The following is a 26,433-nucleotide window of genomic DNA, read 5'->3' as shown; positions in this document are numbered from 1 at the left end:
CTGCCTTTTGTTCAGCTATGCCCTGCCCCCAGAGGTGGGGTCCACAGAAGCAGGCAGGCCTCCTTGAGCTGCAGTGGGCTCCACCGAGTTCAAGCTTCCCAGAAGCTTTGCTTACCTACTCAAGTCTCAGCAATGGTGGGTGCCCCTCCCCCAGCCTTGCTGCCGCCTTGCAGTTTGATCTCAGACTGCCGTGCTAGCAAAGAGTGAGGCTCCGTGGGCATGGGACCCTCTGAGCCATGCGTGGGATATAATCTCCTGGTGTGCTGTTTGCTAAGACCATTGGAAAAGCACAGTGCTAGGGTGGGAGTGACCCGATTTTCCAGGTGCCATCTCTCACCCCTTCCCTTGGCTAGGAGAGGGAATTCCCCGACCCCCTGTGCTTCTCAGGTGAGGTGATGCCTTGCCCTGCTTTAGCTCACACTCAGTGGGCTGCACTCACTGTCCTGCCCCCACTGTCCGACAAGCCCCAGTGAGATGAACCTGGTACCTCAGTTGGAAATGCAGAAATCACCAGTCTTCTGCGTCACTCATGCTGGGAGCTGTAGACTGGAGCTGTTCCTATTCAGCCATCTTGTAAATAAACATCTGGATAGATTTGTTTATAAAGTTTAATTAAAATTAGCTTTACATTAATAATACACTGATGCAAAGGTAAGATTTGTTTTTCTCTTTTGAACAATATTTTTGTGAAGTACTAATAAGGATTAATTTTTTGTTCACCTTCTGAGTGGAAAAAAGAGGGAAAGACATTTTTTCATCCAATGCTGTCTTTATTAGGTCTTTTGATTGCTTGGAAAACTGAGTCTCCTCTCTATCAAAGAGTAAAGGTGTTGTTTTTTGTGGTTTTTTGGTCCTATTTATATGCAAAGAAGGTTTTTGCTTTCAGAAATATTTGAATTATCACTTTGGTTAAATGAATGACTATTATTAGTGGCCTGTAATCCTATTTTGATCAAATATTTTAAACCTTCAGTATCTGACATACTCCCAAAATCAAATTTAAAATTCTAAAATTAAGTCTTTTCCAGAAGAAAACCCTGGAAGTCCAAGAGAGATATATTAGGCTTATTTGGTATATTAAAATCATATGGGAAGCACTGTCAAATAAGAAATAGTATTTAACTTTGAGTTATATTTGTATAGCTATGTTAATATGTTCCAAAATTGTAGGAGATTCCACTTCAGATATGTCTTGGTATATGAAATCAGTCATGATTATGATTAAACTGCTGTATGCCACAGGAATAACCAAATTTCCTTGTCAATTTTGTCTTTAACCATAGCTATCCTAAGTCTTTTGTCATTTACAGACAATTAGTATTCTACTTTGATTCTTCTGAAAAACAAAACAAAACAAAACAAAAAATGGTTTAAAGCAACGGAAACAAAAGCCAAAATAGGCAAATGGGATCTAATTAAACTAAAGAGCTTCTGCACAGCAAAAGAAACTATCATCAGAGTGAACAGGCAACCTACAGAATAGGCGAACATTTTTGCAATCTATCCATCTGACAAAGGGCTAATATCCAGAATCTACAAAGGCCTTAAACAAATTTACAAGAAAAAAAAATCCCATCAAAAAGTGGTGAAGGATATGAACAGACAGTTCTCAAAAGAAGACATTTATGCAGCCAACAAACATCTGAAAAAAAGCTCATCATCACTGGTCATCAGAGAAATGCAAATCAAAACCACAATGAGATACCATCTCACACCAGTTAGAATGGCAATTATTAAAAAGTCAGGAAACAACAGATGCTGGAGAGGATGTGGAGAAATCAGAACTCTTTTACAATGTTGGTAGGAGTATAAACTAGTTCAACCATTGTGGAAGACAGTGTGGCGATTCCTCAGGGATCTAGAACCAGAAATACCATTTGACCCAGCAAAGGATTATAAATCATTCTACTATAAAAACACATGCAGCCGGGCACAGTGGCTCACACCTGTAATCCCAGCACTTTGGGAGGCCGAGGCAGGGGGATCAAGGCAGGGTCAGGAGATCAAGACCATCCTGGCTAACATGGTGAAACCCTGTCTCTACTAAAAAATTAAAAAAAATTAGCCAGGCATGGTGGTGGGCACCTGTAGTCCCAGCTACTTGGGAGGCGGAGGCAGGAGAATTGCGTGAACCCAGGAGATGGAGCTTGCAGTGAGCCAAGATTGCACCCCTGCACTCCAGCCTGGGCGACAGAGCAAGACTCCATCTCAAAAAAGAAAAAAAATAAAAAACCACAACACATGCACACATATGTTTATTGCTATTGCAGCACTGTTCACAAAATAGCAAAGACTTGGACCCAACCCAAATGTCCATCAATAATAGACTGGTTAAAGAAAACGTGGTATATCTACACCATGGAATACTATGCAGCTGTAAAAAAAAAAAAAAGGATGAGTTCATGTCCTTTGCAGGGACATGGATGAAGCTGGAAACCATCATTCTCAGCAAACTAACACAAGAACAGAAAACCAAACACCGCATATTCTCACTCATAAGTTGGAGGTGAACAATGAGAACATGTGGACACAGGGAGGAGAACATCACACACCAGGGCCTGTCGGGGGATGGGGGGCTAGGGGAGGATAGCATTAGGTGATATACCTAATGTAGATGATGAGTTGATGTGTGCAGCAAACCACCATGGCACATGTATACCTATGTAACAAACCTGCACATTCTGCACATGTATCCCAGAACTTGAAGTACAATAACAAAATTTTTTTAAAAATTTGCTACAATCCAAAATTTGCTTTTTCTTCAAAGAAATTCATGAAAAGGGACCCTGACAAGTACTCTTGAGTACAGACATCTGATAACTTCAGAGATCATACCACTGGACTAAGTAAAAATCTTCAAAACTCAATAAACTAACGTGTTCATGAAGATTACTAACCCAACATCAAGCAGAACATGAATTACATGTCACTAAACTGATAAAGAACTGAAATGATTTTTAAGACCTTTTATTTCAAACATTGCTGATTTTTTTTATATTTTGTTTTCCAGAGTCAAAAATACATTTTTCTTTTGAGCTATTTATAGGTTATAGCAATTGGGTAATATATCTTTATAAGCAAAATCAAAACATTTGCCTTTCTCTCTACTTTGTTTCCCCCAAATTTGGAAATTATTCATGGGTATTCTTATTTCATGGCAATCTAGTAATCTGCACTAGTTCAATAAGAATCTGTTTTCTGTAACAGGACACAACTGAAGACATTGTTTGGTGGTGGTGGTGTTTTTAGCCAGACTTTGACTGGAATGGTATATTTTCAGAGATGATCAGACTGCTTTGAGGAATTGAGGTTGACTTTATAGAGCTGATAAAAAGCCTCTTGGAAAGACTGGCCTGAAACCTTATCTTACACAGTTCCCTTTCAAGATTTCTGTCCTTGTGGTAAGTAAAGAATGTCACTTTTAGACAGGTTTGGGAACCTCAAGATATTTTGGGGACCTTGTGAAGAGACAAATTTACCAATTCCTACAGGTATTACAATGGCAGTCTAGTGGTGAATCCTTGGCTTGATTTCCTAACCTCAAAACTTTTAACAGTGTAATCCAAAATTCCTTATGAAAGTTCCAGCAAAGTCAACCTAAAAGAGCCTATTTGGCCAATCATTTTTCTTGCACTTTATGCAAGTAATCAGACCAAGTATAACATTAAAACTTATTTTACAAATAAATTGGTCCTACTAAGATTTATCGTTGGTAAAAATGGGGGCTGAAAACAGAAAAAAATTATGTTTCAGAAGAAAACTACAGTACACCTGTTATTAGACTCTAGCCCTGTCCATTTTTCTGAGTTTTTATTATCTTCCTACAATTTGGACTACATCCTGAACTACTTCCTGGATACAAGTCTCTAAAAAAGGACCAGGCTTTAATTTTCTTCATGATGCGTTTAACTGACTTCCCCAATGGAATAGGTTTATTAAAAATTTTGGCATACACATTTTCTTCTTTATTATAGTCCTTGTGTGTATTATATTTCTACTATATATCTCTCATTGTTTTACTACTTCTAAGAAAACTAAATTCATGGTACCCTACAGACTAGAGATGATTTAACAAGTGACAGCAGCTATAGATCAATGACTTTGACAGGACTACCCTAAGATCGAGCCTTCCCAGCAATGAGGGACACCTTGACACTCAGATTTTGATCATCAATGCTTTCAAGAAGAAATATTTTTGATCAAAAGAGGGAAATGAGAAAATAAAAGAAAATTTATCTGAGAAACGCAAATCCTTTTAAATTATCAGACCCAGAGAGGCATGAAACTATAGCCACAATCACATCCTACTCCCCCACCCCATTTTTAAGATATGTATTCATCTCTTAAAACTGCTTGCTATTGCCACTAGTAGCTACAAAGTAACCTAATAATGCTCCACCAGAAACTATAACCCAGTCTATAGCTTAACAATGTATAGTCAACAGTTTATGTTATTTTAAGGTAAAGTCTTGGTAAACAACTCAGGAATGGCCTCTTCCTTCCCATTTGTAACTGCTGCTAATTAGACAGTATACTCAGGACAACTTGAATCTATACTGCTGGGTTGTAATCCTCAGGCCTGGCCCAAATAAACTTTCTACTTATATTAATTTTGCCTCAGCTTCTTTACCTTTTAGGTCAACAGACAACAGGGACTAGAAGCCTTTTTGGAGTAAGGAAGTGGCATTCCCAGGTGACAGTGCTGAGGAAGGAGGCTGGGGTCTCCAGGGATATAGCTTACAATTCCTCTCTAAATCCTGGGTTCAAAGAGCTGGGCTCCCAAATGTCCCAGGAAAGCTTTCTTGTGGCAACACAAACTTGCACCAGCCCCCTACATCTGAGCCATTTGAGGTGATTTATATGAAGATGATTGCAGGATAATTCATTGAGACATGAATTCATGCTGTATTTTTCCCTCTGTTCCAAGTGGGAAGCTTCTCTGTGCTCCTGCACCTCTGGGGAGCCTTGTGGTACAGGCTGGGGTTAAAGTCTGCTTAGAGACGATGAATTTCCTGGACTTTGCCTTCCAGGAGCCAGAGCAGCTTAATGGGATCACGCAGTAGAGGAGAGGGCAGAGAGAAGGAAGGAGCCCCATCCAAAGGAGCTTGTGGAGTTCCCCTCATGAGTAGAACCAGCAGCCCTCCTAGGGAGGTGGAGGACCTCCAAGAGTACTGGTTACCAGGATGGCCAAGGATAGGCCTGAATATCTGGCTTCCCTCTAAGCCCAAGCCTAGAACCTGAATTTCTGTGCAAAGATGCACCACTCTTCCACCAACACTCCCCTGCATCCTTGCAGCTGTTAAGGTGAAGGGGACTCAGCTCACTCTTGGAAGCTGGCTGCATCACTCCAACCACTTGGACAGGATGGAATTCCTGAGCAGCTCTTCACTCATTCGCTGGCTCACTCAAATAACCAGTGGGTCTGGAGAGCAGACCAGCACTCAAAGCAGAAATTGCTTCAGTGCATGTGATTTGTTTTCTGAGGCTTGGTCCCACACCTCAGGGCTGCACTGGGGACACAGAGGCATCAGAAGGCATTAAGGAACCAGCTAGGCATCCCCATGCTTTCAGGAAGCAAATCACCTAAACCCTACCCTCTGACCCAAGCCAGGTAAGAGAGACCACCAGGGGGCCAAGTCCCCCAGCTAGGGTAATGTCCGTGAATGTCTTGTAAGAGAGCCCTTTGAATACAAATACCCACAGAAGCTGCTGACTCTCCTCCAGTGCCTTAAAAAGTGGCCCAACCCTGGTGTCAGCCGGGGTCATCTGTCCCTTAAGATCTAGACCTGATTGTCTTGAACCCCTCCCCCTGGCATGTGCAGTGCCCTCACCAAGACTTCTGGGAATTCTCAGAGATTGGTGCTTCTTCTATCCTCTTCTGGCGCTGATTTCAGAATTCTGCTGAATTATCCTTCTTCTTCATTTTGTGTCTCTTCCTATGACACCTCCCAGCACAGACCCAGAAACTTTCCCTGATCCCCAAGCTTCTGAGTACAAGCAGGCATGGAAGTTGGATGTAGAGATTTTTCTGAAGATTTAGGGGCAATAGCTGGAAACGTGCATCTCACTCCAAGATGCAGGGAAATTTAAAAGTGGACTTAAGTTCTTAGGAAGCCCCTGGGCATTTCCTACCCTTCTGCCTCCGTTCCTGGTTGCTGCAGCCCTCTCTTCTCTAATCCTCTCCCCGAGCCCACCACCAATTCTGGTCCCTTCTCATGCAGACTAGGATGGTTCCCTATTCCTCTTCTTACTCCAGCCTCCCCTAGGGGCCCCTCCCACCCTCATGTCCTACTGTGCATTTTTTTTTTTATTTGTTTGAGATGGAGTCTCACTCTTTCACCCAGGCTGGACTGCAGTGGCACTATCTCGGCTCACCACAACCTCCGCCTCCTGGGTTCACGCCATTCTCCTGCCTCAGCCTCCCGAGTAGCTGGGACTACAGGCGCCCGCCACCATGCCCGGCTAATTTTTTGTATTTTTAGTAGAGACGGGGTTTCACCGTGTTAGCCAGGATGGTCTCGATCTCCTGACCTCATGATCCACCCGCCTCAGCCTCCCACCTACTGTGCATTTTACTAAACTAAGATCATTCCTTTCCCATGTGAAACTGGTACTGGTTGTGGTAAAATAGTAATTTCCTACCTCTGAAAGTACCATTATTTTACAGATGAGGCCAATTGGACTCAGTAGTTTAAATAAATCAGTCAAGATCACATAGCAAGAGGAAGAGTTGGGATTGCACTGGGATCTGTCTTCACAGAAAGTTGCCTTTCCTTCTGGGCTGCCTCTGATTTGGCTGAGGTCTTGGCCTGCAGGAGGGGTCTGCTGCAAGAGGGGCAGGTGGTTCTGAGAGGGGATCTTCATGACCCAGGCAGGAAGCGAGCATGCCACTGCCTTGTCAAAGTTCCAGAAGCAGTGGTGTTTGGAGTCCTGAGAACAGGCAATCCTGAGTTCTAGGGAGCCTATGTTAGGTGGCTGGACCGAGACCGCCAGGGTGTGAGGGGCTGGCACAGAAGGCTGGGCTTTTGCTCGCAGGCAATGAGGAATGAGAAACCAGGCAGAGCTGGGAGGGCTAGAAGGCGCCTTTAGCCATAAAGCAAAGCTACTAATCCTGGGTGCCAGGAGCAGTGCTAAAGCCTTTTACATTACATCATTTCTAATACACACAGTAAGCCCCAGAGAGAGTCATCCTTTTACTTCACAGATAAGGAAGCTGAGGGTCTCAGTGGTTGAGTGACTTGCTCAAAGCCCCACAGTTAGGAAGTAAACAGGCAGCCAGAATGCAAACTCCACACGTCTGCTTCCTAGTCTCCCACGTGCCATGTGGGTTCTGGGAGAATATTCAGCTGCTGGGGGCCGGTAAATTGTGTGTCTGTTCCCACCTCAGGGACTCTGCCGCTGTTCTGGAATACTCTCCCACTAGGTTTCAGTACAGCAGGCCCCATCTTGTCTTTGGGACTAAGTTTAGGGGACTTCTCCTTGCAAAAGCCTTGCTGACCTCCTAATCCAAAGAAGCCCCCAGGCCCTCTCCCTCTCCTCACTCTGTCATATTTTCTTCTTGGAACTTAACTTGAAATTTTCTCATTTGTTTATTACTTATTGTCTCCCCCATGCCCTAAACGTGAAAGTGGAATGTATCTGTCCTGTTTTCCCAAATCCCCAGTGCCTAGGTCCGCCAGCACTCACATACAAATATCTGGCAAAGTGAAGGAGGCGGCAGAGTCTGAACACCAGCAAAAGCCATCTCTTGCCCATATCAATAACCCTCTCTCCACAGCCCAACCACCTCAGTGGCAGCTTTTCTACTCCATTTCCCCATGAAGAATTGCTGTGGGAGGAATGACAACTGGACCAGATGTCACCTGACAGGAGTCCAAGCCAGATCCTGCTACCCTACCTGGTGGGTCTCCAAACTGGCAGACCAGTCTGCCCTGGTCCTTTGGAGGTCCTCTACCCCAAGTCTGCCCAGGAATTCCCTTCAGCCTTTCTACAACCTCTCATGCTCATTGACCTTTAGGCTTTAGGGAAACAAAAACAATTCTGCCCTATAAAGATGTCAGGACCCTGACTCCAGGTGGCCAAACCCTTGTCATGAAATGGAAGGAACACAGGGCCTGGAGGTGGACTACTGGCTAGAGGCCTGGGGATGAGGCCCAGACCCTGAGCTAGGGACTGGAGGCTCCTGGTTCCATGTGCAACACGCTCAGGATCACTGGCTGTGGCTGAACTCCACTTCTACCAAACACATTCAATGATGTGTTCCCTTTGTTTACCCTGTGGGGAGCCCAGAACATCAATGAAATATAAAATTGAAAGCACATTGTACTTCTCAGATGAAAAGTGCCACAGTCAGAGAGATTCACAGCCATACTGTTCACTCGTGCTGGTCAAATGGCTTTGGCTGGGAGATTTTTTTATGGCTATGAGTTTTAGAGTTTAAAGAAAAAAATACAGCTTGTTTCATAGAGCCATTATGGGATTTTTCTGTTGAGGCACACAGTCTCTGCACAGCCCTAAAATGTTTTGACAGCTCAGGCAAATTCTCAGGAAAACCTGAGACCAGAGCGTGCCAACCAGCCGCTTATCACTCCGCTCCCACAGCCCCAGCGCTCGGCTGGAGCTTCCCCTGCTGGCTCCTCAGCAGGCCCGGCCGCCACCCTGCCCGCGGGACCAGCCGCACGCGGCCCAGCTATGAATCAACCTTGTCCTCCCATTCCAGTGCGGGAAATGGGATGATGAATTCGTTTCCATCACCACACTGCCCATAAGTCACGGCTTGAAGGGCATTTTTTTCTTTTAAAGTTTCCAATGACAAAGATTTCATTATCCAAAGCAATAATTTTTACCCGGAGCAATGCAAGATTTCACTCTACCTGAATTAGGCCCATATGTGAAAGGGCAGCCTGAGAACGTCAGTGTCTGGGGGCGGAGAGGAGGGTGGGGAAGGGGGAGGCTGGTCTCTGTGTTCTCGCCCTGCCCCCACACGTTCCCTTTCTCTCTCTGTGTGGATGTTCGCTTTCTTTGTTCTCAGTCTCCTTCCTCCTGAGCCAACCTCTCTCCTTGTCACTGGGCACCCCCATGATCCTCTCCCCAGGGTACAACCCTTCCTCCAGTGACAACCCCAGGCCTGGGCTGACACTGTCTGTTTATTCTGCTGGCCTGTTCTCCCTACTGCTTCACATCCACATACTCCCCATCCCCCGCCCATATCAGAGCCAAAGAAGGGCAAAGAATCATCAGCATTGCTCTCACATGGAGGCCAAAGGGCTTTCCTTTGAGTCAGAAAGGCAATTTCAAAACTGCACTACAGAAGTGCACTGCACTGCACAAGATCCCCGGGGGATTGGCTCATTCTCAGGCTCCGGATGTGCCACCTTCTGCCAGGCCCCATCTTTTTACCCTGTTAGTTTTCACACTGAGGCCTCATTGCTCCAAAGCCAAAGCCTAAAGTCACAGGAAGCATATATAAGAATCTAAAGAAGGAAATATGGGGACCTTCTACAGCAGCGCAGAAGCCAAGACAGGGCCCTCTGCTCTCAGCCCTCCTGGAAAGCAGCACTTGAGGGGTAGGGGGTTCCTTCAGGGACTGGCTGGTATCTTTTGAGGACTGGCCTGGCCAGGGAAGGCCAGGAGCCCTGCTGAGAAGGGCTTACTGTTCTCAGGGTAAGACTGGGGTGCCCCTGGCATCTCCCACTGTCCACATCCCAATCCCACAGAGCCTCCTGCTCCACCTGCTTTCCCACTAACAATGCTGCCGCCATCAGTCCGGGGACAGGCCCAGGTCAGATCACCTGTGACAAGCCCAAGAGGAAATGCTAGTGTCAGATTCGAGGGAGCCACGTACAGCCAGTCTACATTTAAACAGCAAGTATTAATTACAGAATCCCAGCCAAGTACAAAAGACAAAATAAATGCACGAATGTATTTCACTTCCTCTTAAAGCAAATACAAAGTAGGGCTGATATTAACTACCAAAATGACAAACTTTCATATGACTGACCTACATGCACACACAGTTAGAATAAACACCAGGGAAGAGGCCCAGACAGTGACCTCAGGAGTTCAGGCAAGCAAGGGAAAACTGGAGGCTGGGCCAAAGAGTCTTCACAGAAGAGTGGTGCTCTGGTGTGGAGGAAGTAATAATCTGAGTCTTCAAGAGAGTGCCAGAGTAGTGGAGTGTCCTCCCGGAGGGGTGGGAGTGATGCTGGGAGTTAACTGAGCCCATCCATTGAGTTTGGAAGCCCAAGCTAAAGATCTAGACCTCTCATTACTTCCCAATCAGTGACAAAGGGAGTGTTTTGAAGCCATGTTAGCCCCCACAATTCTCAGCTACCACTATTACATATCGTTAACTCCTCCCACCAGGTGCAGCAAAGCACATTATGAGTGTTACAGTGAGCATGGGGATAGGGAGACAGGACAAAATTGATCCGAGGTGTGATGCCTGTGTTGGGAGGCCTCTAGTGCACTCGCTAGCTAAGAGAGGCCCCCGTGCCAACCCCCTGACCCGCACGCGGCCCCACTGCAGGCCAATCTTCAAATTCCTGCCTCAACAGTCTCACCTACTACCTCATGTCAGGAATCTGGAGCTCTGGGTTAGCAGGTGGAGTTGCGGCTGATATATGTGACATCAGGGTGCTGTGAGATTTGTAGGCAGCGGCAAGTTTTAATTAAAATTTTTTCTTAGGCCAGGCATGTTGGCTCATACCTGTAATCCCAGCACTTTGGGAGGCTGAGGTGGGCAGATCACATGAGGTCAGGAGTTCAAGACCAGCCTGGCCAACATGGCAAAACCCCATATCTACTAAAAATACGAAAATTAGCCAGGTGTGGTGTGGTATCGGGCACCTGTAGTCCCAGCTACTTGGGAGGCTGAGGCAGGAGAATCACTTGAACCCAGGAGGCAGAGGTTGCAGTGAGCCAAGATTGCACCACTGCACTCCAGTCTGGGTGACAGAGTGAGACTTGGTCTCAAAAAAAAAAAAAGAAAAAAAGAAAAAAAAATTCTTAGAGGTGAAATTCACATAATATAAAATTAACCATTTTAAACACAATTCAGTAGCACTTAGTACATTCACAGTGTCATGCATCTGCTGCCTCTATTTAGTTGCAGAACATTTTCTTCACCCCAAAGGGAAAACTCATGCCCACGAAGCAATCACTCCCAAGTTCTCCTCATCCCAGGCCCTGGCAGTCACTGATGTGCTTTCTGTCTCTTTCCAGATGTTTCATATAAGCAGAATCATACAATATGTGACCTTCAGTGTCTGGCTTCTTAGCATGTTAGCTTGGCTTAGAAACTTAGCATGTTTCTGAAGTTCATCCATGTTGTTGCATGTATCAGAATTCCATTCCTTTTTATGGCTGAATAGTAGTATTTCTTTGTATGTATATACTACACCTTGTGTAGCCATTCATCTGCTGATGGACAACTGTGCCCACCTTTGGCTAGTGTGAATAATGCTCCTATAAGCATGTACGCCCAAGTATTTGTTTGAGTCCTTGCTTTCAATTCTTTTGGGCATATGCCTAGGAGGGGAGTTGCCGGGTCATATAGTAATTCTATATAATATACTTTTGAGGAATGGCCAAACTTCTTTCCGCAGGGCTGCATCACTTTACATTCCCACCAGTGGAAAGGTTCTGAGAATCCTCAGACAGATAGATAGTGGTAGGGGATGCATCTGATGGTTTTGTTTGAGTCAGGGTTAGGGGAGGCTGAGCTGGAGCTACTACCTGGTGCTCTCGTGGCACCCAAGTCCTCCGCCATTCCTAGAGCCCAGAACCGTGTGCGGCTCAGAGCAGGTCCTCAGAATTGAGGTGTAAAGGAAGCAGTGAAGACTAGGAAGATGGTCACAATGATGATCCTGGGTCGCAGAGTCCTGAGACACCACAGTCACACCGTGAAAGTCAAGGCTGAGACCTGAGACTACACAGGCTTCCCCACTCGGGCTCCTGCAGATAGCAGGCTGGGAGCTGCACTCCTTTGCAGATACCATTACTGGAGATAGGACTGCAACATGAAATGATGAAAATGTAAAACATCAGGGAACATGCTGTAAATCACTTATTTGCAACCTGCTGCCTCCCAGACATGCCCGATCGGAGTGAGATGCTGCAGCAGCTCGGGATTTCCACATGGCCTAGACCAGGTTTTCCTTCAGGTGCCAAGACCCTGACCTAAGAACTGAAACCATGTGGGGAAAACACCTTGGGGGCCTGACTCATCCTGTCCTCCAGCCGAAAGCATCGTCCCTGAGTCTTCTCCTGGCATCGAGCCCACCAGCCCCAGGCCTTGGGAAAACCCCTTTGCCCCTCCATGCCTGTGTTTTCCCAATTTGAGAAATGATGATGCCTTGGCTTGAACAGCCTCCCAGGCTCCCCAGCAGATTCCAGATGTATCTTTGATTCGTGGAATTTACCCATAGTCTTGGCTCTCCTCATCTGGTCTCAGTGAAAAAAAATCAAGAAACAAAGAAAAGAAGTGGCCAGTTCCACAAGGCCCTATGAACAGGCTTCTCAGGGCCAGTGTCAGCAGCAAGGCTCCTGAGGCCAGGGGTCCTGCCATCCACCTGCACTGGCCCAGATGGGAAAAGGGGCTGCTCAGGAATGTGTAGGGTTTCAAGCACAACTGGCATTCCTTCAAGTGTGCAGTATGAGGTATGGCCCCTTAGAAGCAAAACCCACACTGAAAATCAAACTAAGAGAGAAAGTGAAATGATGGGCTGTCTGCCTGCTTTCCCAAGCACTCCCCTCAGGACACCTTTAAATGCTTTAAGTGGAACTGTGTCTCTGCACACTTTTGCAGTTTCATGTATACTGTCTGAAGCAGAGGTTAATGTATATAGCCTTGTTGCAACTGGGTGGACTTTCTCAGTTCCCTGGTTGCTTGGCCACCAAAGCAAGCCCCGAGCAGGAGGGTGGAGGGCAGTAAGAGAAAGAGCATGGGATTTGGGGTCTCAGAGGATCTGCAAACCACAGCTGAGCTGTGGCTAACACCAGCGCCAGTGATGGAGGAGCTATAAATCTTGTGTGCCCTCCAGCGAGCCCTTCTCACCTCTGGGCCTCAGTTTCCTCCTTTCAACAGTGAGAACATCAGACCAGATGACCCTCCGGGTTGCTCCAATGTTCTAGGCAGTGGACCTTCATGGAGCAACTGAATATTCATGAAGTTGTGAGCAGGCCAGTCCTAGCCAGAGCCAAGCAGATGCACTAGCAAGACCCCCTCCCACCCATTAAAGAGTAATGATGGTGTGTCACAGTCCATCGGCTGAGTAGGCCACTCAATTCTCCATCTCATCTACCTTCTTTGATCTGAAGGTCACACAAATGGTTCCCCTTTAAGTGCATGGAGAATACTGTCCTGCCATAGGAACAGCATTTAACAAAGCTGGGGGCCCGAGGTGCCCAAAACCATCATCATAATAAAGTAAAAGATCAATGTATCCAACAATGCCACCCCTGTTTGCCAAATTTATCAGCCACAACAGCTTTGCTGTGAGGTGAAATGTTGGGGGCTGGGTTGGGGAAATCAGTCGCCTTTCCTTACTATGCAGCAGTTTAGCCATAATTCTTCTTCAGATTTACTTCCTGTAGCAGTCTTGTCTCCTCAGATTCTCATTTCTTAGAATCCTTTCATGATTATCCCATAGTGCCTAGAACAGGGCTGGGCACACAGTGGGTACTTAATAAGTATATATGGATCTGTTTTCAGGCGTGTCCAGGAAAAGAAGACTAGTATTTCAGTTACCTGTGGCTGCAGAACAAACTACCAATTTAGTGGCTTATAACAACGATTTATGATTTCTCATGAATCTGTGTTGACTGGATTCAGCTGGGTGGTTTGGCAGGGCTCATTTAGCAGCTGCTTTCATCTGGAAGCTTGTTTGAAGCTGGAATGTCCAAGATGGCCTCTTATCCTCCAGAGCTTCTCTCCCATGTCCCTGCATTATCCACTGGCCTAGTCTGGACTTCCTTTTAGCAGCAGGGTGGCTGGGTTCCAAGAGGAACTGTTCTAAGAAGACAAGCCTAGTGCGCAAGCACTCATAAAGCCACGGCTTGGATCATGCTTGTTAATATCCTTTTGGCCAAAGAAAGCCACATGGCAAACTCCAGAGTCAATGCAGGAGCGACCACACAAAAGTGTGACTTCTAAGAGACATAGTTCATTGAATGCCACAAAGCAATGACCTACCACAGCTGGTGAATCCCCTCTGCCCCCTTCGATGGGGATAGAGCCATGATACCCTGAGCCATCCTCTACCCTCCCAGAAAAGTAGAAGACAGGACAGGTTTCTCAGTGGAAAACCATCCTCCAGAGCATGTGAGGAAGTCAAGTCACCCACTGCCAAGTTAGGGAGGGAAGGTTCCTTGAGTCCCATCATGGTCATGCTCAAAATCTAGCAAAAGCTGGACTGTCTTTTCAGATCCTGGGGGACAAGTGGAACCTGTCACTTGCATTCATTCACTGAATATAGTACCTGAGCACTACCATCATGGAGCACTTGGGATCAAGGTGTATCAAGGGAACCTCTGCTACCAATAGCAGGAGAGGAACACATGCATTTCCACGCATGTCCTTGTTGGCCATGGGGATTGTCTTTTTCCACTGGGGAGTAATAATGTGGTGCAGTGGTTAATTGCATGGACCCTGTTGGCAGATGGCTTGGCTTCAGATTCTAGCTCTGCCACATACCAACTCTGCTGACCTGGGCAACCTGCCCAGCCCTCCTGAGCTATGGTTCCCGTGTCTAAATTCTCGTGAGGGTTAAATCACTTAATCCATGAAAAGCACTCAGAACAGAGGTTGGCATAAAATAAGCACCAGGCAAGCATTTGCTAATATTATTCATGAGTAACCCTTACATAAAGAATTCTTTTTTCAAATTACAAACCTAATATATACTCGATGTAAAAACAAACCAACCTTGCAATATCTGAAAAAAGAAAAAAGGGAAAACCCACTCACACAATTCCTCAACCCGAAAAGAATCCTCTTCACCTCCTGGCATGCACACTTAGTGTTTTCCTATGAAATATGTACACATAGCCATTCTTTTCATTACAAAAAATTGTCATACTGTTTGTAGCCTGCCAGTTAAAATGTAATAATATGTCAAAAATGTTGGCCATAAATATTAATCTACAATTTGATTTTACTATCAGCATGTATTTAATGATGTAATCTATCCTTTCCTGTGGGATATTTATATGATCTGTGATTTTTCACAAATAGAAGTAATGCTGTGATACATATCCTCATACGCATCCCTCATTATGTCTTCAGAATAAGTTCCTAGAAGAGGAAAATGCTGGGTTTGAATGGAATGCCTACCTGCAGGGTTGATTCAGATGCTGCTGTCCTGGCCTGGAGAGAATGAGTGTGCCTGGAAGGCATAGTAGGAGAGGAACATGTACCTGTCCTCCATGTCCTTGTCGGCCATGGGGATTGTTTTTTCTCACTAGGGAGTTATAGTATCAGCCTCTAGGCCAGGAACATTCTGCTGTGGTGTGGCTTCTCCTCTGCCGCAAGTAAGGCCAGAGCCGCCTTTAGAGCCTGTGGAGGCCAAAGCAACTCCATCTTGGAAGCTACCCACCATGTTGACTTCTGATTATCCGCAGTTCTGGGACGGCCTCTAAGATTTCCAGCATATCCATTGTTCCTTGTGTAAGAGCAAGTACTTACTATAAATCCTGCCCTTAGGTCAACCTTGATGTTATCATACTTCAACTGTCCTACACTTCCCTTCTGAACCACCCCTCCCCTGTGGTATATAAGCCCTGGGTCTGGAGGGTAATGGCACGTGGATCCACCATCTCCTCTCACTGCCACCTGAGACATAAACATGGTTTGTTTTCTTAAGTCTCTATTAAATGTTTCTAAGAAACTGGATTTGTCAGCCTCTTTCTTCAGCCTCTCAGCTTCTTCAGACTTTGGGGGTGGGATTGCATAGACCTGCCCATTGTAAACAGAGCCCCAGTTGCCTTCTGCCTGCCTGTAACCACTAACTGCCCCAGGTTTCCACCTAGTCCTCCTGCACCACTCTCTACACACAGAGTTTCAGTGTCCCAAAGAGAGACTTTGGCAGTAAACAGACATGCTTCAATATCCCTTTAGCAGGTGACCCCAATCCACGTATCCCTCTCGGATGCCCAACTCCAACCTGGACCTGTATTTCTGCCGGACTGTTCCACGGGATCCTCAAATTTAGCCCGGCCTAACCCACTCTTCTTGTCTGCTTTCCCATCACCTGTTCCAGCAAGCTATTTGAGCAGGTGTCCCGGCTTCAGGGGTCAGGCAGCATGGGTTTAATTCTGGCTCTGCATTTACCAGCTGGGTGATTGTGGGCAAATGACTCAACCCCCTTGAGCTGTAGTTTTTCTTAACTGCAAATTGAGGACTTTAATATGAGCCTCTCAGGGTTCTGAGGATTCAGTGGGGTGACAGCAGGTCTTACAGAGTAAATGTCTAATAAATGATAACAAGAGCAATACTGATATTATTTTTATTCTTACTACCCACTGCTCCAACTGAAAACCTCATAGTCATTCTTCCTTCTTCAAGTGTCTCTTCTCTTCCACAAAGCCAGGAAGTAAACCTTACAAATGGCCCCTGAACCCCTGCTGCTGCCCTGCTGCTGGCACACATGCATTAAGTGGTCTCCTTACCCCCTCGCCATCCTGTGGACAGCACATAGCAGATGCCCGGAAAGTTGCTTGTGTGAAAAGTACAGTGGTTCCCAGCAGATCACTTCCTTTCTCTGGACTCTGCTTCCTCATCTGTAAAACCATCTCCAAGGGCCCTTGCAGCCGGGAAACACTGTGATTCCCTATCCCTCTACTGGTTCCTTGCCCCAGGGAACAAGGGAGCCTGGCTGCATCACTCAGGCAGGCAGATTCTTAGCAGGACAGAGCGAGATAACAGCTAGGTAGATGACTTCTCTTTTTATTGCCTGAACCATCAAACCCTCCCCAAGATTTCTGGACTACTGTCCCTTGGCTGGCTCAGAAATTTCTTAGCTCTACCAATATTTTCTTTCGTAGTTCTGTAAAGCAAGCTCAAACTCAGCGAGCACCGCCTATGCAAAGACCTTAAACCACATGTTTATTTTCCTAAGCTATAAAAAGTTTATGAGGGGAGCTGGACTTCTTGTCCAGCACCATGCTCAGAATTGCTACTGCATTCCACAGGAAGACAGAGGGCTCTGTGTCAGTCCAGGGGGGCTGGAGGGAAGTAGGTGGAGTATAGCTGTCCAGCCTCCAGTGGAAAGGGCACAGGGCATGGGAAGGAACAACTGAGTGGCAAATTCATTGGGTAGTGAGGGCAGTGGAGAAGAAAGATGGGGGAAGGATTTGAGCACGGTTGCAGGTGGTTTAATCCAGCATTCTGCCTCTCAGGTCCGTCTCCTGTCAAGGCAGCTTTGGGACACTGAGTCAGCAAAGGCACTGGGGCTCGCCCTGGCTGAAGCTCACTAAGCTAGCCCTTCTGACATGACACAGCCCCTTCATCCAAGAATATGAAGTCATTGAAGCTTGATCCTGGAATAAACTGCCAAGAGGAGACACCTTCACTTAGTTGCCTCTAGTTTCCTAATGATCCCAGCCCATCTATTTACTTCTTTCCACCTAGCCCAGTGCTTCTTGAGAATCAGATGCCATGGAGTCATTCAGAACTCCAGCACCAGGGTATGTTCTGAGATACAGTTTGTTTGTCCACCAGCCTGGCATTTCTGGGGGTCCCTGATATGGACTGAGCCTCTGAGGGTAGAGTATTTCCTCTTGCAATGCAGGTCTAGGTTTTCCATTGAGCTGATGCCAACCTCTTTAAGTGGATGAGATCTTGAATGACTCTTGGATCCCAATATCTATAATACCACCTGCCAAGATCTGGTGAAGCTCACTGAGCCTGGGCCCTTGGTCCTTCAGGCCCATTTCCCACTTGGTTCCATCCTGGGAACTCCAAAGGGTCACATCATAGGAGGAAGGAAACAGAGGTGTGTGAAGGTCCTTGGTCCTCCAACTGCAGGGATTTGAGTACTAGATGGAGTGGGGAAAGGACTGAGTGACACTCAAGGTCTCCTCTAACCCTGAAATCCTATGATTTCTAGGAAAAAAAGGAAACTGCCATTTGCTCAGAGCAGTGATTCTCAAACTCAATGCCTCTATTCTGTTACAAATATATCATAATACTCCCTTATTATCCTGAAATAAAAGGTAATATATTATACTCATAATTTTAAAAGGTCAAACATCTTAACTGTAAAAAGGGCAATTTATGATAAATTAATGTGTACTGCCATATATAAATGTGTGGGCATGGCTACTTCGGAAGCCCTGATGAAGCACAGCACCGCACCGCTGAACGGACTCCCGGTGCCAGCAACATCATCAATGCAGAGTGACAAGGTGGGTCATACAGGGATTCCAAAACTACATGCAGCATTGCTGTCAGATACAATGCTTTCCTGTATTGTGAACACTGTTAAAGTACAATCTTAATTTACATACTGGTTGCATGCATTCAATGTTTTCTAAAACCGTGCAAAAAATAATCTGTATTGCGTCCTGGTATAAGATGATAAAGTCAGGTTTTTCACCTCCAGAATTGTCCAGTTAGTAATTTGACAGTTGTGTAGGGCACAGTACAATTCTTCATTTTGCAGGACAGTCTCAGGAATGGCAGGGTATTGGGCATCCTTTATCCAGTGTGCAAAATGCTAATTGCCCCTCAGCTGGTAGTATCACCCTGTTCAAAATGGTTGAATTGAAGCCTCCTCTCTGCCTGGAGACACAGGAGGCAGGAGATGGGGACACTAATCATCACAGTGTTAAGGATCTGCAAGATCTGCTGAGACATCACTACAGTTTGGTGAAGTGGCCATGGTAATAACCTGTGTTGCTGAGGTAATAACCTGTGTTATACCTGTGTTGCTGCAATGCCCAGCTTTGTCTCTCAGGTGGTCCTTGGCCTCCACCCCAGCCCCAATATCTCAGGTCTCGTTTAGCATACAACTTATAAACCAGGCTGGTAGCAGCCCTTAGGGCCCAGGAGTGGCCTTCTCTTGTCTGAGATGCTTTCAGAAGAACCTGGAGACCCTCGCTTTTGGACAAGACACTGCCCATGTACCATTTTTGCGGTGGTTGTCCTTTTACCCGCTACCCCAATTTAACCATAGAGGCACTTACAAATCAGAATGATTAAAAAAAAAAAAAAGGTTCAGTGACCTGAGCAAGTTGCATAACTTTTCTGTGACTCAGTTTCCTCATCTGTAAAATGGGAATAAGAAGATGGGTGGATACCATTAACCTTAAAAGGTTGCAAGCATTACACTTTCATTAATGAAAGGGCTTTTCAAATTTGAAAGCACAAATATAAGGTATTACTACTTTTTCATTTTGTAGCACTATTATTATTGCCAGTTCACTAAGCCCCAATGAGGCACATCCAACATGTGCTGACCACAGCCCATCTTTGGCCTCAAAGGAAAAGGAGGCCTGCAGAGCCTGAGTCTCCCACTGCCTGGCCTGGCCAGCTGTGCACCGGCTCCGCACCTGCAGGAGACTAGGTGGGCTCCCAACAGAAGGCGCAGGGCAGTGTCAGTAAGGCCACTGTGGGACAGCTGGCTGTTCTTTCCGGAGGGCAGGGCTAGGCTTCAGACATTCATTTCAGGGTGCAGTCCAGGAGGTGTCTGCCCCAAGGCAGGGCACACGACCAGAGCTGAGAGCGTGAGGATAAAAGTAGTGAGAAAGAGACTGAAGAGGCATCCTAGCACGAGATGGCGCAAGGCCTGAGAGGCCTAATCAGAAAAGGAGAGAGGGGCACCCACTTGTTTAATTGGCTTTACTGTCCTTGAGTATTCAAACCTGGCGCTTATTTCCACAGGCCTGACGCCATCATTGCCCCAGGCAGCAGGAAGCTGGCTCAAGACCTGCTCAGGCTGTTTTCCCCTGCACTCACCTTGCGCTCCCAGATCCTGGCCTTCCTCCTGTGGCGCGGTCTCAGGTCCGAACCCTCCTGCTTCTTGCGGACTCCTTCTGGCTGCCAATTGCAGACACTGTTGAGCAAATCATCAGGGGAGCAGCAAGTGTACAGGTACACCTAACGCACGCATGCCCACCTGCGTGCCTCGTGTGTACGCGTGCGTGCTCGCTCATGTGCGAGCATCGTGCGGGCTCGCCTCCAAGCTTCCAGCGAGCCTCCGTGCGTGCGCGTGCGTGCTCATGTGCGTGCGTTGTGCGGGCTCACTTTCGGGCTTCAGGTGAGCCTGCCGCGTGCATGCTTAGCAGGTGCGGGCCCTCCCAAGGTTCTGCGCTGCCTCCAACTCCTCTGGACCCAGCTTCTCTAGCGGTGATTGGAGTTGTGGTGCTCAGCGCCGATCTTGTGTGCTGATAAAAGCTGCGGGGATTGTCGAGGTCTTCCTAGGGCGGTGAAAGGTGGGGGGGCAGCTTCAGATCCGGCGAGTTTTCCACTAGCCTGGCTGCGGCTGTTACCAGCCTGTTCAGATTCGTCGTCAAATTGGAAGCCCCCGAGAGGAGACAGCCAAAATACTGAGGACCCGCAAATGCAGGCCGGGGAGTCGGAAAGGGAGATCCCATCTCACTGGAGTAAGGTGGAGGAGCTGAAACAAAAATTGGTACCCAGGCCATGACAGCCCTGGATACAGCTATCCACAGACAAGAAAGAGCTTGGTTTTCCTGTTTTGAAGCTAAGTTGTGTTGGGCCCCTTCTAGGGACTAGAAGTTTTGTATACTTTATGAGGTAGATACTGCCATCTATCTCTATTTTACAGATGGGGAAACGGAGGCCCTGGGCAGGTAGGGAACTGACCCACAGCCACACAGCTATAACTAGTAGAGCTCAGATTTGAACCCAGGTTTTTCTTCTGCGAAAACTTTTCCTCTTTCAGCCACCTCACGCAGCCTTCCTAATTTGAAGGGCCATGAGGCTAAAGAGGAAACTGACATCTCAGATTTTCAGGGAACATACCTAATCCTTAACACAGAGAAGACTGTAAGCCCCTGAGGTTTTGGAGGTATATCCAAACAGCCACACGCACAAAATGCATTTAACATTTTTATCCTGAGAGTTCACGTAAAGTTTGCTTTCTACTCCATGATACATCCGGGTCTTCTTAAATATGTTCAAAAGGTGTAACACTTGAATAAAACAGATTTTCCAGGGACCATTCTTGTTTATTCAGGCACCAATTCTGTGTCTCCAGGCAGTTTGAAGAGCAGAGCCTTGGACCAGAGGATCTCAAGTATGTGTGCTGCAGACCCTTCTCGCTGCCTGAAGAAGTCCAGGGACTCCTCCCCAGAATAATGTTTTAAATGCATAAAATAAAACACTTGAGATTATAAAGGAAACAAGCCATATCAAAATATAATTAACAATATTTTTTGAATTGAATTTGTGATACAGTTTTTTGGGGGGTTCTTTTTTTTGGACAGCTTTTTAAAAAGTTATCTTAACCATTTTTAAGTGTACAGTTCCAGTGGTAGTAAATATATTCACACTGCTGTGCGACCACCACCGCTATCCATCCACAGAGCTCTTCATCTTGCAAACTGAAACTCTACCCATTAAATGCTAACTCCGCATTCCCCTGTACTCCCACCCCCCTGGCAACCACCATTCTACTTTTCTTCTCTATGATTTTGAATACTTTTAACTACCTCATATAAGTGGAATCAAACAGTCAATTTGTGACTGGCTGATTTCACTTAGCGTAATGGCTTCAAGGTTCACCCATGTGTCAGAATTCCTTCCTTTTTAAGGCTGAATAATATTCCATTGAATGTGAATACTACGTATTATTCATTCATCAATCAATATATACTTGGGTTGCTTCCAGCTTCCGGCTATTGTGAATAATGCTGTTATAAACATGGGTGTACAAATATCTCTTTGAGATCCTGCTTTTTTTTGAGACAGAGTCTCACTCTGTCGCCCACGCTGGAGTGCAGTGGCACAATCTCAGCTCACTGCAAGCTCCGCCTCCCAGGTTCACGCCATTCTCCTACCCCAGCCTCCCGAATAGCTGGGACTACAGGCGCCCGCCACCAAGCCCAGCTAATTTTTTGTATTTTTTAGTAGAGACGGGGTTTCACCGTGGTCTCGATCTCCTGACCTCGTGATCTGCCTGCCTCAGCCTCCCAAAGTGAGATCCTGCTTTCAGTTCTTTAGGGTATAGACCCAGAATTAGACTTGCTGGATCCTATGGCAATTCTATTTTTTTGTTTTTGAGGAACCACCCTACTGCTCTCCACACAACTGCACCATTTTACATTCCTGCAGGGAGTGCACAAGGGGTTCCACTTTCTTCAGATCTTCAGCAACATCCATTTTCTATTTTTTTGATAGTAGCCATCATAATGGGTGTGAGGTGTGTGATAAAATTTTATATATGCTTCATTAAGACCTTAAATAACAAGCTCTTGTGGTGGGACCGTAATATAAAAAATATTTCTTGATATTTGTAACTATAATATGAAAATATCTGTGATTGCCAGTGAAAAAGACTGCATTTGAAAGGAATGCTACATTTCAACTTTAGGGGAATAAAAATAAAGTTTTTCTTTTCTCCTTCAAATTCAGAGAACCCCTGAAAATTTAACCTCAGATTAAGAAACTCTGCTAGAGAGACAGCTCCAGAGGAAAAGCTAAAGGAAAAGGCCTGACAGATTTGTAGGTAGGGAAGTGGGGTGACTGCAGGCTGACTTCCTTCCGTGACATTCTGCAGCCGTGAGATGGCAGAATGACCATGAGTAAATGTCCTCTCCTTTACCCTGTTTCCCCCTGTAGTCATTGGATTAGCTCCAGCCATGATGCGAGTCACTGAAGAGGATTTGCAAACCCACTGTGTCCACACATTCTGCCTTCTACAGCCCCTCACTGCGCATCCCCACTTCTCTGAACCTTGACCTTCAAGTGCTCTGGAGAAAGTCACCTTCCCAGGTCACATGGTCCCTTTTAAGACTCCTCCAGTGCAGAGGAGTTGAGGGGTCACTGCTGTCGGGAGGGCCAACTACAGGTACCACTCCACTGTGAGAAATGAGGCTGAGACCAGGAGTGCCTTTCAAAGCCTCAGAAGTCAGCCACTTAGTTCTCCCAGCCACATCTTGAAGCATTTTTACTATCAAGAAGGATCTGCATGCAAATTTCAGAATCTGTCTGTCAGTTCATTTTGCAGAGTGTTGGAACAGTGGCATAAAAGGAAATCCAGTGAGACAAGGTAATGGGTGTGGATGACTGCTAATGGGACCTTCAAGTCCCTAGGCTGTCCGCCCTGTCTTCCTTAAGCACATGTTTGGAGTTCAAGTTCAGTGAGGTGGAGTTGTGTTCTGATTTGTTGATTTTTGGAAAATACACACACACACACACACACACACACACACACACACACACCCCCACACACACACACACCAGAAAAATCCAAAATCAGTTTTCTTTCGGGTGCTTTGTTTTTAAAGAGAATCAAGATGTTAACCATTCATATATTCAATGAGGGCAGAGGCTTCTTTTCATACACTAGGTATGGGGATATTAAGAACAATTTTCCTCATAGGCTAAAAATTATTTCTTTGTTTTCTGCTATACACAGTGTGCATTTGGAAAGGCAGAGTGACACTGCTTGTGAACAGGATATTTCTTTACAATTTTTGTTACTGTTTTTCAAAAATGTTTTCCTGCTCAAGATTGAGTACCTACTTTTTAAAAGAAAATTAAACTGAAAATTGTAACAGTAACACAGCTGGGATGTCTGACTTTACAGTTTAGGAGTCGAAATATAACACCCGAGTACTGTCTCAAAGGGCAGTGTTTGAGGTCCCAGTATACTGAGTCTCTTTATCAACCCTGCTTCTGCCTTCACCTCCCCTTCTTCATATGTCAAGAAAACTCCAATATATCCATCTGGCTCTTCTTAACAGAACCGAGCTAGGTAGGGAATTAGAGAGTCCCTCTGCCTGTGGCCACTGCCTTAGTACAGGAATCACGGTGGTCATTAATGTGGGTCCTAAGCACTGATCACTGCCACTCCACTGGTTTTATTTCAGGAGATTTATTGTATGCTCATGTCCCTAGATGATAGCCTGGGCTTTGGATTTATCCTGACTAATGTTCACAATATGGAATCTCGGAGGAGAGAATTCTGGTTTCTCCCAGAAGACTCCTGAGTTCCTTATGCAAATTTGCTCACATTTCCCCAGTAAGTTTCGAGTTAATCATATGCAAGCTGCCAGAGTAATCAACCTGCTACAGATGGTGTATCAATTATCTATTGCTGCATAACAAAGCCACCCCAAAACCTAGTGGCTTAAAACAAGAACCATTTATTTGCTCATGATTCTACAGGCTGGAGGCTGGACTGAGGCTGAATAAATCAATATGCCTGGCCCTCACAGCAGCAACAGCTGAGAGCTGGTAGGACCTTTGTCTCTAGCAGAGTAGCCTGACTTACAAGGGGTAGCTCAGAGCTCCAAGATAACCGAAGCTACCAGACCTCTTAAAGCCTGGGCTCAGAAGTCCCAGAAGGTCACATTCCACAAAGTCAGCCCAGATTCAAGGGGGAGGGAGAATGGACTTCTTGATGCCCATAAGGGATGGGAAGAATGTTATTGGCTGTATTTGCAGACAATCTAGTCTTACCCCTGGACAATTTGCCAGAAATGACAATTGCATCCCAAACTGGCAGGTTTTATGTGAAGAAGTGGGGTGTCAAGGGCTTGCTCCCAGGTGTTTATGAGGGCAGGACTCAGGGGAATTGTGGAGCAAGTTGTGGGGAAAGGGAGGACACCACTGTTGCTCCAAAAGATAGGGTCTCTGGAGCTCCCTCCCACAAGCCAGCTTCAGGGATTGGCTTTAGAAAGCCTCAGCAAAACTAGAACTGAAAATAAGGAAAACCCCCAAAGGCTGTGGAAACCATTTCATGAAGTGTGAGTTGGTAAATAGTTACTAGAAACATGGTTTTGATCAGGTAAATTCAACCCAATTAGAGGCAGGAATGGACCTCATATCCCCCTGACCCCACCCATAATAAGGGATATAGTGAAATGGGAAACGCCAGCAGGCAGATGAGGTGGCAGGCTGATTTTTGGCAAATCAGTCTGTTATCTGCAGAGCACATTGTAATTTACAATGTGATTTCTCATTGCTCATTTCTTATTATTTAATGTGACTCATTACTTATTTCATGTGTTGATATTTAAATATCTTTATAAGATAGCTCAAGCCCTGAGTTCCTGATATTTTCATCTACCCACAGGCATTATATACCCTAAGAAAAACAGAGGAGGCCTAAATTGGAATTAGGACTTATCTGAGTGTGTCTGGGGAGCTCATGGGGAGGGTCACCAGAGGCATATGTGACTGAGGAAATGGGGCGGCTAGGAGAATGCAGCCCAAGAGGGGAGGCAGCCAGATGGGGCCAACTTGAGCAAGTTAAAAACAAAAAAAAACAAAACTAAAAAACACCCATAGGGATCAGTAAGTAGCCACAGTTCAGAATAGAGCTTGAGCTTGAAATCTGTCATTCTGTTGTGTCCCCTCTGAAATCCCCATGGATTCATTTCTGGGACCAAGGAGCTAGAAGGCTGAAGGAAAACAGAGGAGATCTGGCAGGGGCCAAGGTCCTCCCTAAGCACATGGATGTGAGATCCAGCGAACTGTGGATTCTTATCATTCATGGGGACTTAATCTGTGCTGATTTGCTGGAGTGGCCTGGGGAACTAGGATAAATAAATAAAATCATAGCACATTTACTTACTGATTGTTCTTCAGTGTTATGGACCTAATTCTCTATTCAGTATTTGAGATGCCAAAAAAGAAAGTGAAAAAACAGCCTGTTCACTTGCATGTCAGATCACCATGGACTTACCAGGGAATTAGGGGATACCATTAAGTAACATATCCACCCTCCTGAAGATGAGGAAATACTGGAGGTTAGCGCAGGACATGAGATGTTAGGAGTCCTGGGATGTTTCTGGTGTCCTCATGTGTCATTACATGACTTGGAAATTTGCTTAACCTCTCTGGTTCAAAGTAGTTGGGGGAAATAAATCTAAAAGTAATGTTTTGGTGGGTGACTCCAACATTTTCTACAAATTCAGTGGTTCTGAAATAGTGTGAGGCAGAAAGTTAAAATTCATCAATGGACATGAATTTAGAACAAATATACGCTGAACTTTCAGGATGAGACCTGGTTCTGCTGCAGGCTCTTCTGAGTGCCTATGGGCTTTTGTGTGTGTGTGTGTGTGTGAAACTCTTATGCTACATAAAAAAAAGCCAAAACCGAACAATAACAAAAACTTTATGCCATTGCCCTACAATGTGAGATATGTGGTTCTGAGACCTCTAATATTATTATATTGCAAGATGCTTGCAGGCCATAGTTTTCAAGTAACTTTTTGATACAGAGCCTAAAGCTTAGCAAC

The 26,433-nt window shown here is 45.7% G+C and overlaps 2 long non-coding RNA genes across 5 annotated transcripts in view, besides 2 other annotated features; one reads left to right on the top strand and one right to left on the bottom strand.

Moving 5' to 3' along the window:
• LOC101929770 (uncharacterized) overlaps positions 1 to 20,101 on the bottom strand; it is a 105,175-nt gene extending 85,074 nt beyond the window's left edge. For 2 of the 4 annotated variants that reach the window (XR_926855.3, XR_007059598.1), the window contains exon 1: positions 19,958 to 20,101. This is a non-coding gene — a long non-coding RNA (uncharacterized LOC101929770). Of the gene's footprint in view, positions 1 to 16,668; positions 16,920 to 19,957 lie in introns of those variants that run through there. The other 2 variants (XR_007059596.1, XR_007059597.1) reach the window with 1 other exon arrangement.
• Positions 12,040 to 12,089: an enhancer, noted in NCBI's record as "active region_24643". NCBI's record gives its function as "activates an Ori minimal core promoter by ATAC-STARR-seq in GM12878 lymphoblastoid cells {active_cell/tissue: GM12878}" and the evidence as "EXISTENCE:reporter gene assay evidence [ECO:0000049][PMID:35858748]".
• Positions 12,330 to 12,419: an enhancer, noted in NCBI's record as "active region_24642". NCBI's record gives its function as "activates an Ori minimal core promoter by ATAC-STARR-seq in GM12878 lymphoblastoid cells {active_cell/tissue: GM12878}" and the evidence as "EXISTENCE:reporter gene assay evidence [ECO:0000049][PMID:35858748]".
• LOC124901325 (uncharacterized) lies at positions 20,010 to 21,404 on the top strand. Its single transcript, XR_007059603.1, has 2 exons — positions 20,010 to 20,092; positions 21,222 to 21,404. It is a non-coding gene; the product is annotated as an uncharacterized LOC124901325 (long non-coding RNA).
• The last annotated feature ends 5,029 nt before the right edge of the window (positions 21,405 to 26,433 follow it).

This window comes from Homo sapiens, chromosome 6 (genome assembly GCF_000001405.40).
Source record: "Homo sapiens chromosome 6, GRCh38.p14 Primary Assembly".
In the NCBI taxonomy this organism is placed as follows: domain Eukaryota; kingdom Metazoa; phylum Chordata; class Mammalia; order Primates; family Hominidae; genus Homo; species Homo sapiens.
This window is presented reverse-complemented; position numbering and strand designations above follow the sequence as displayed.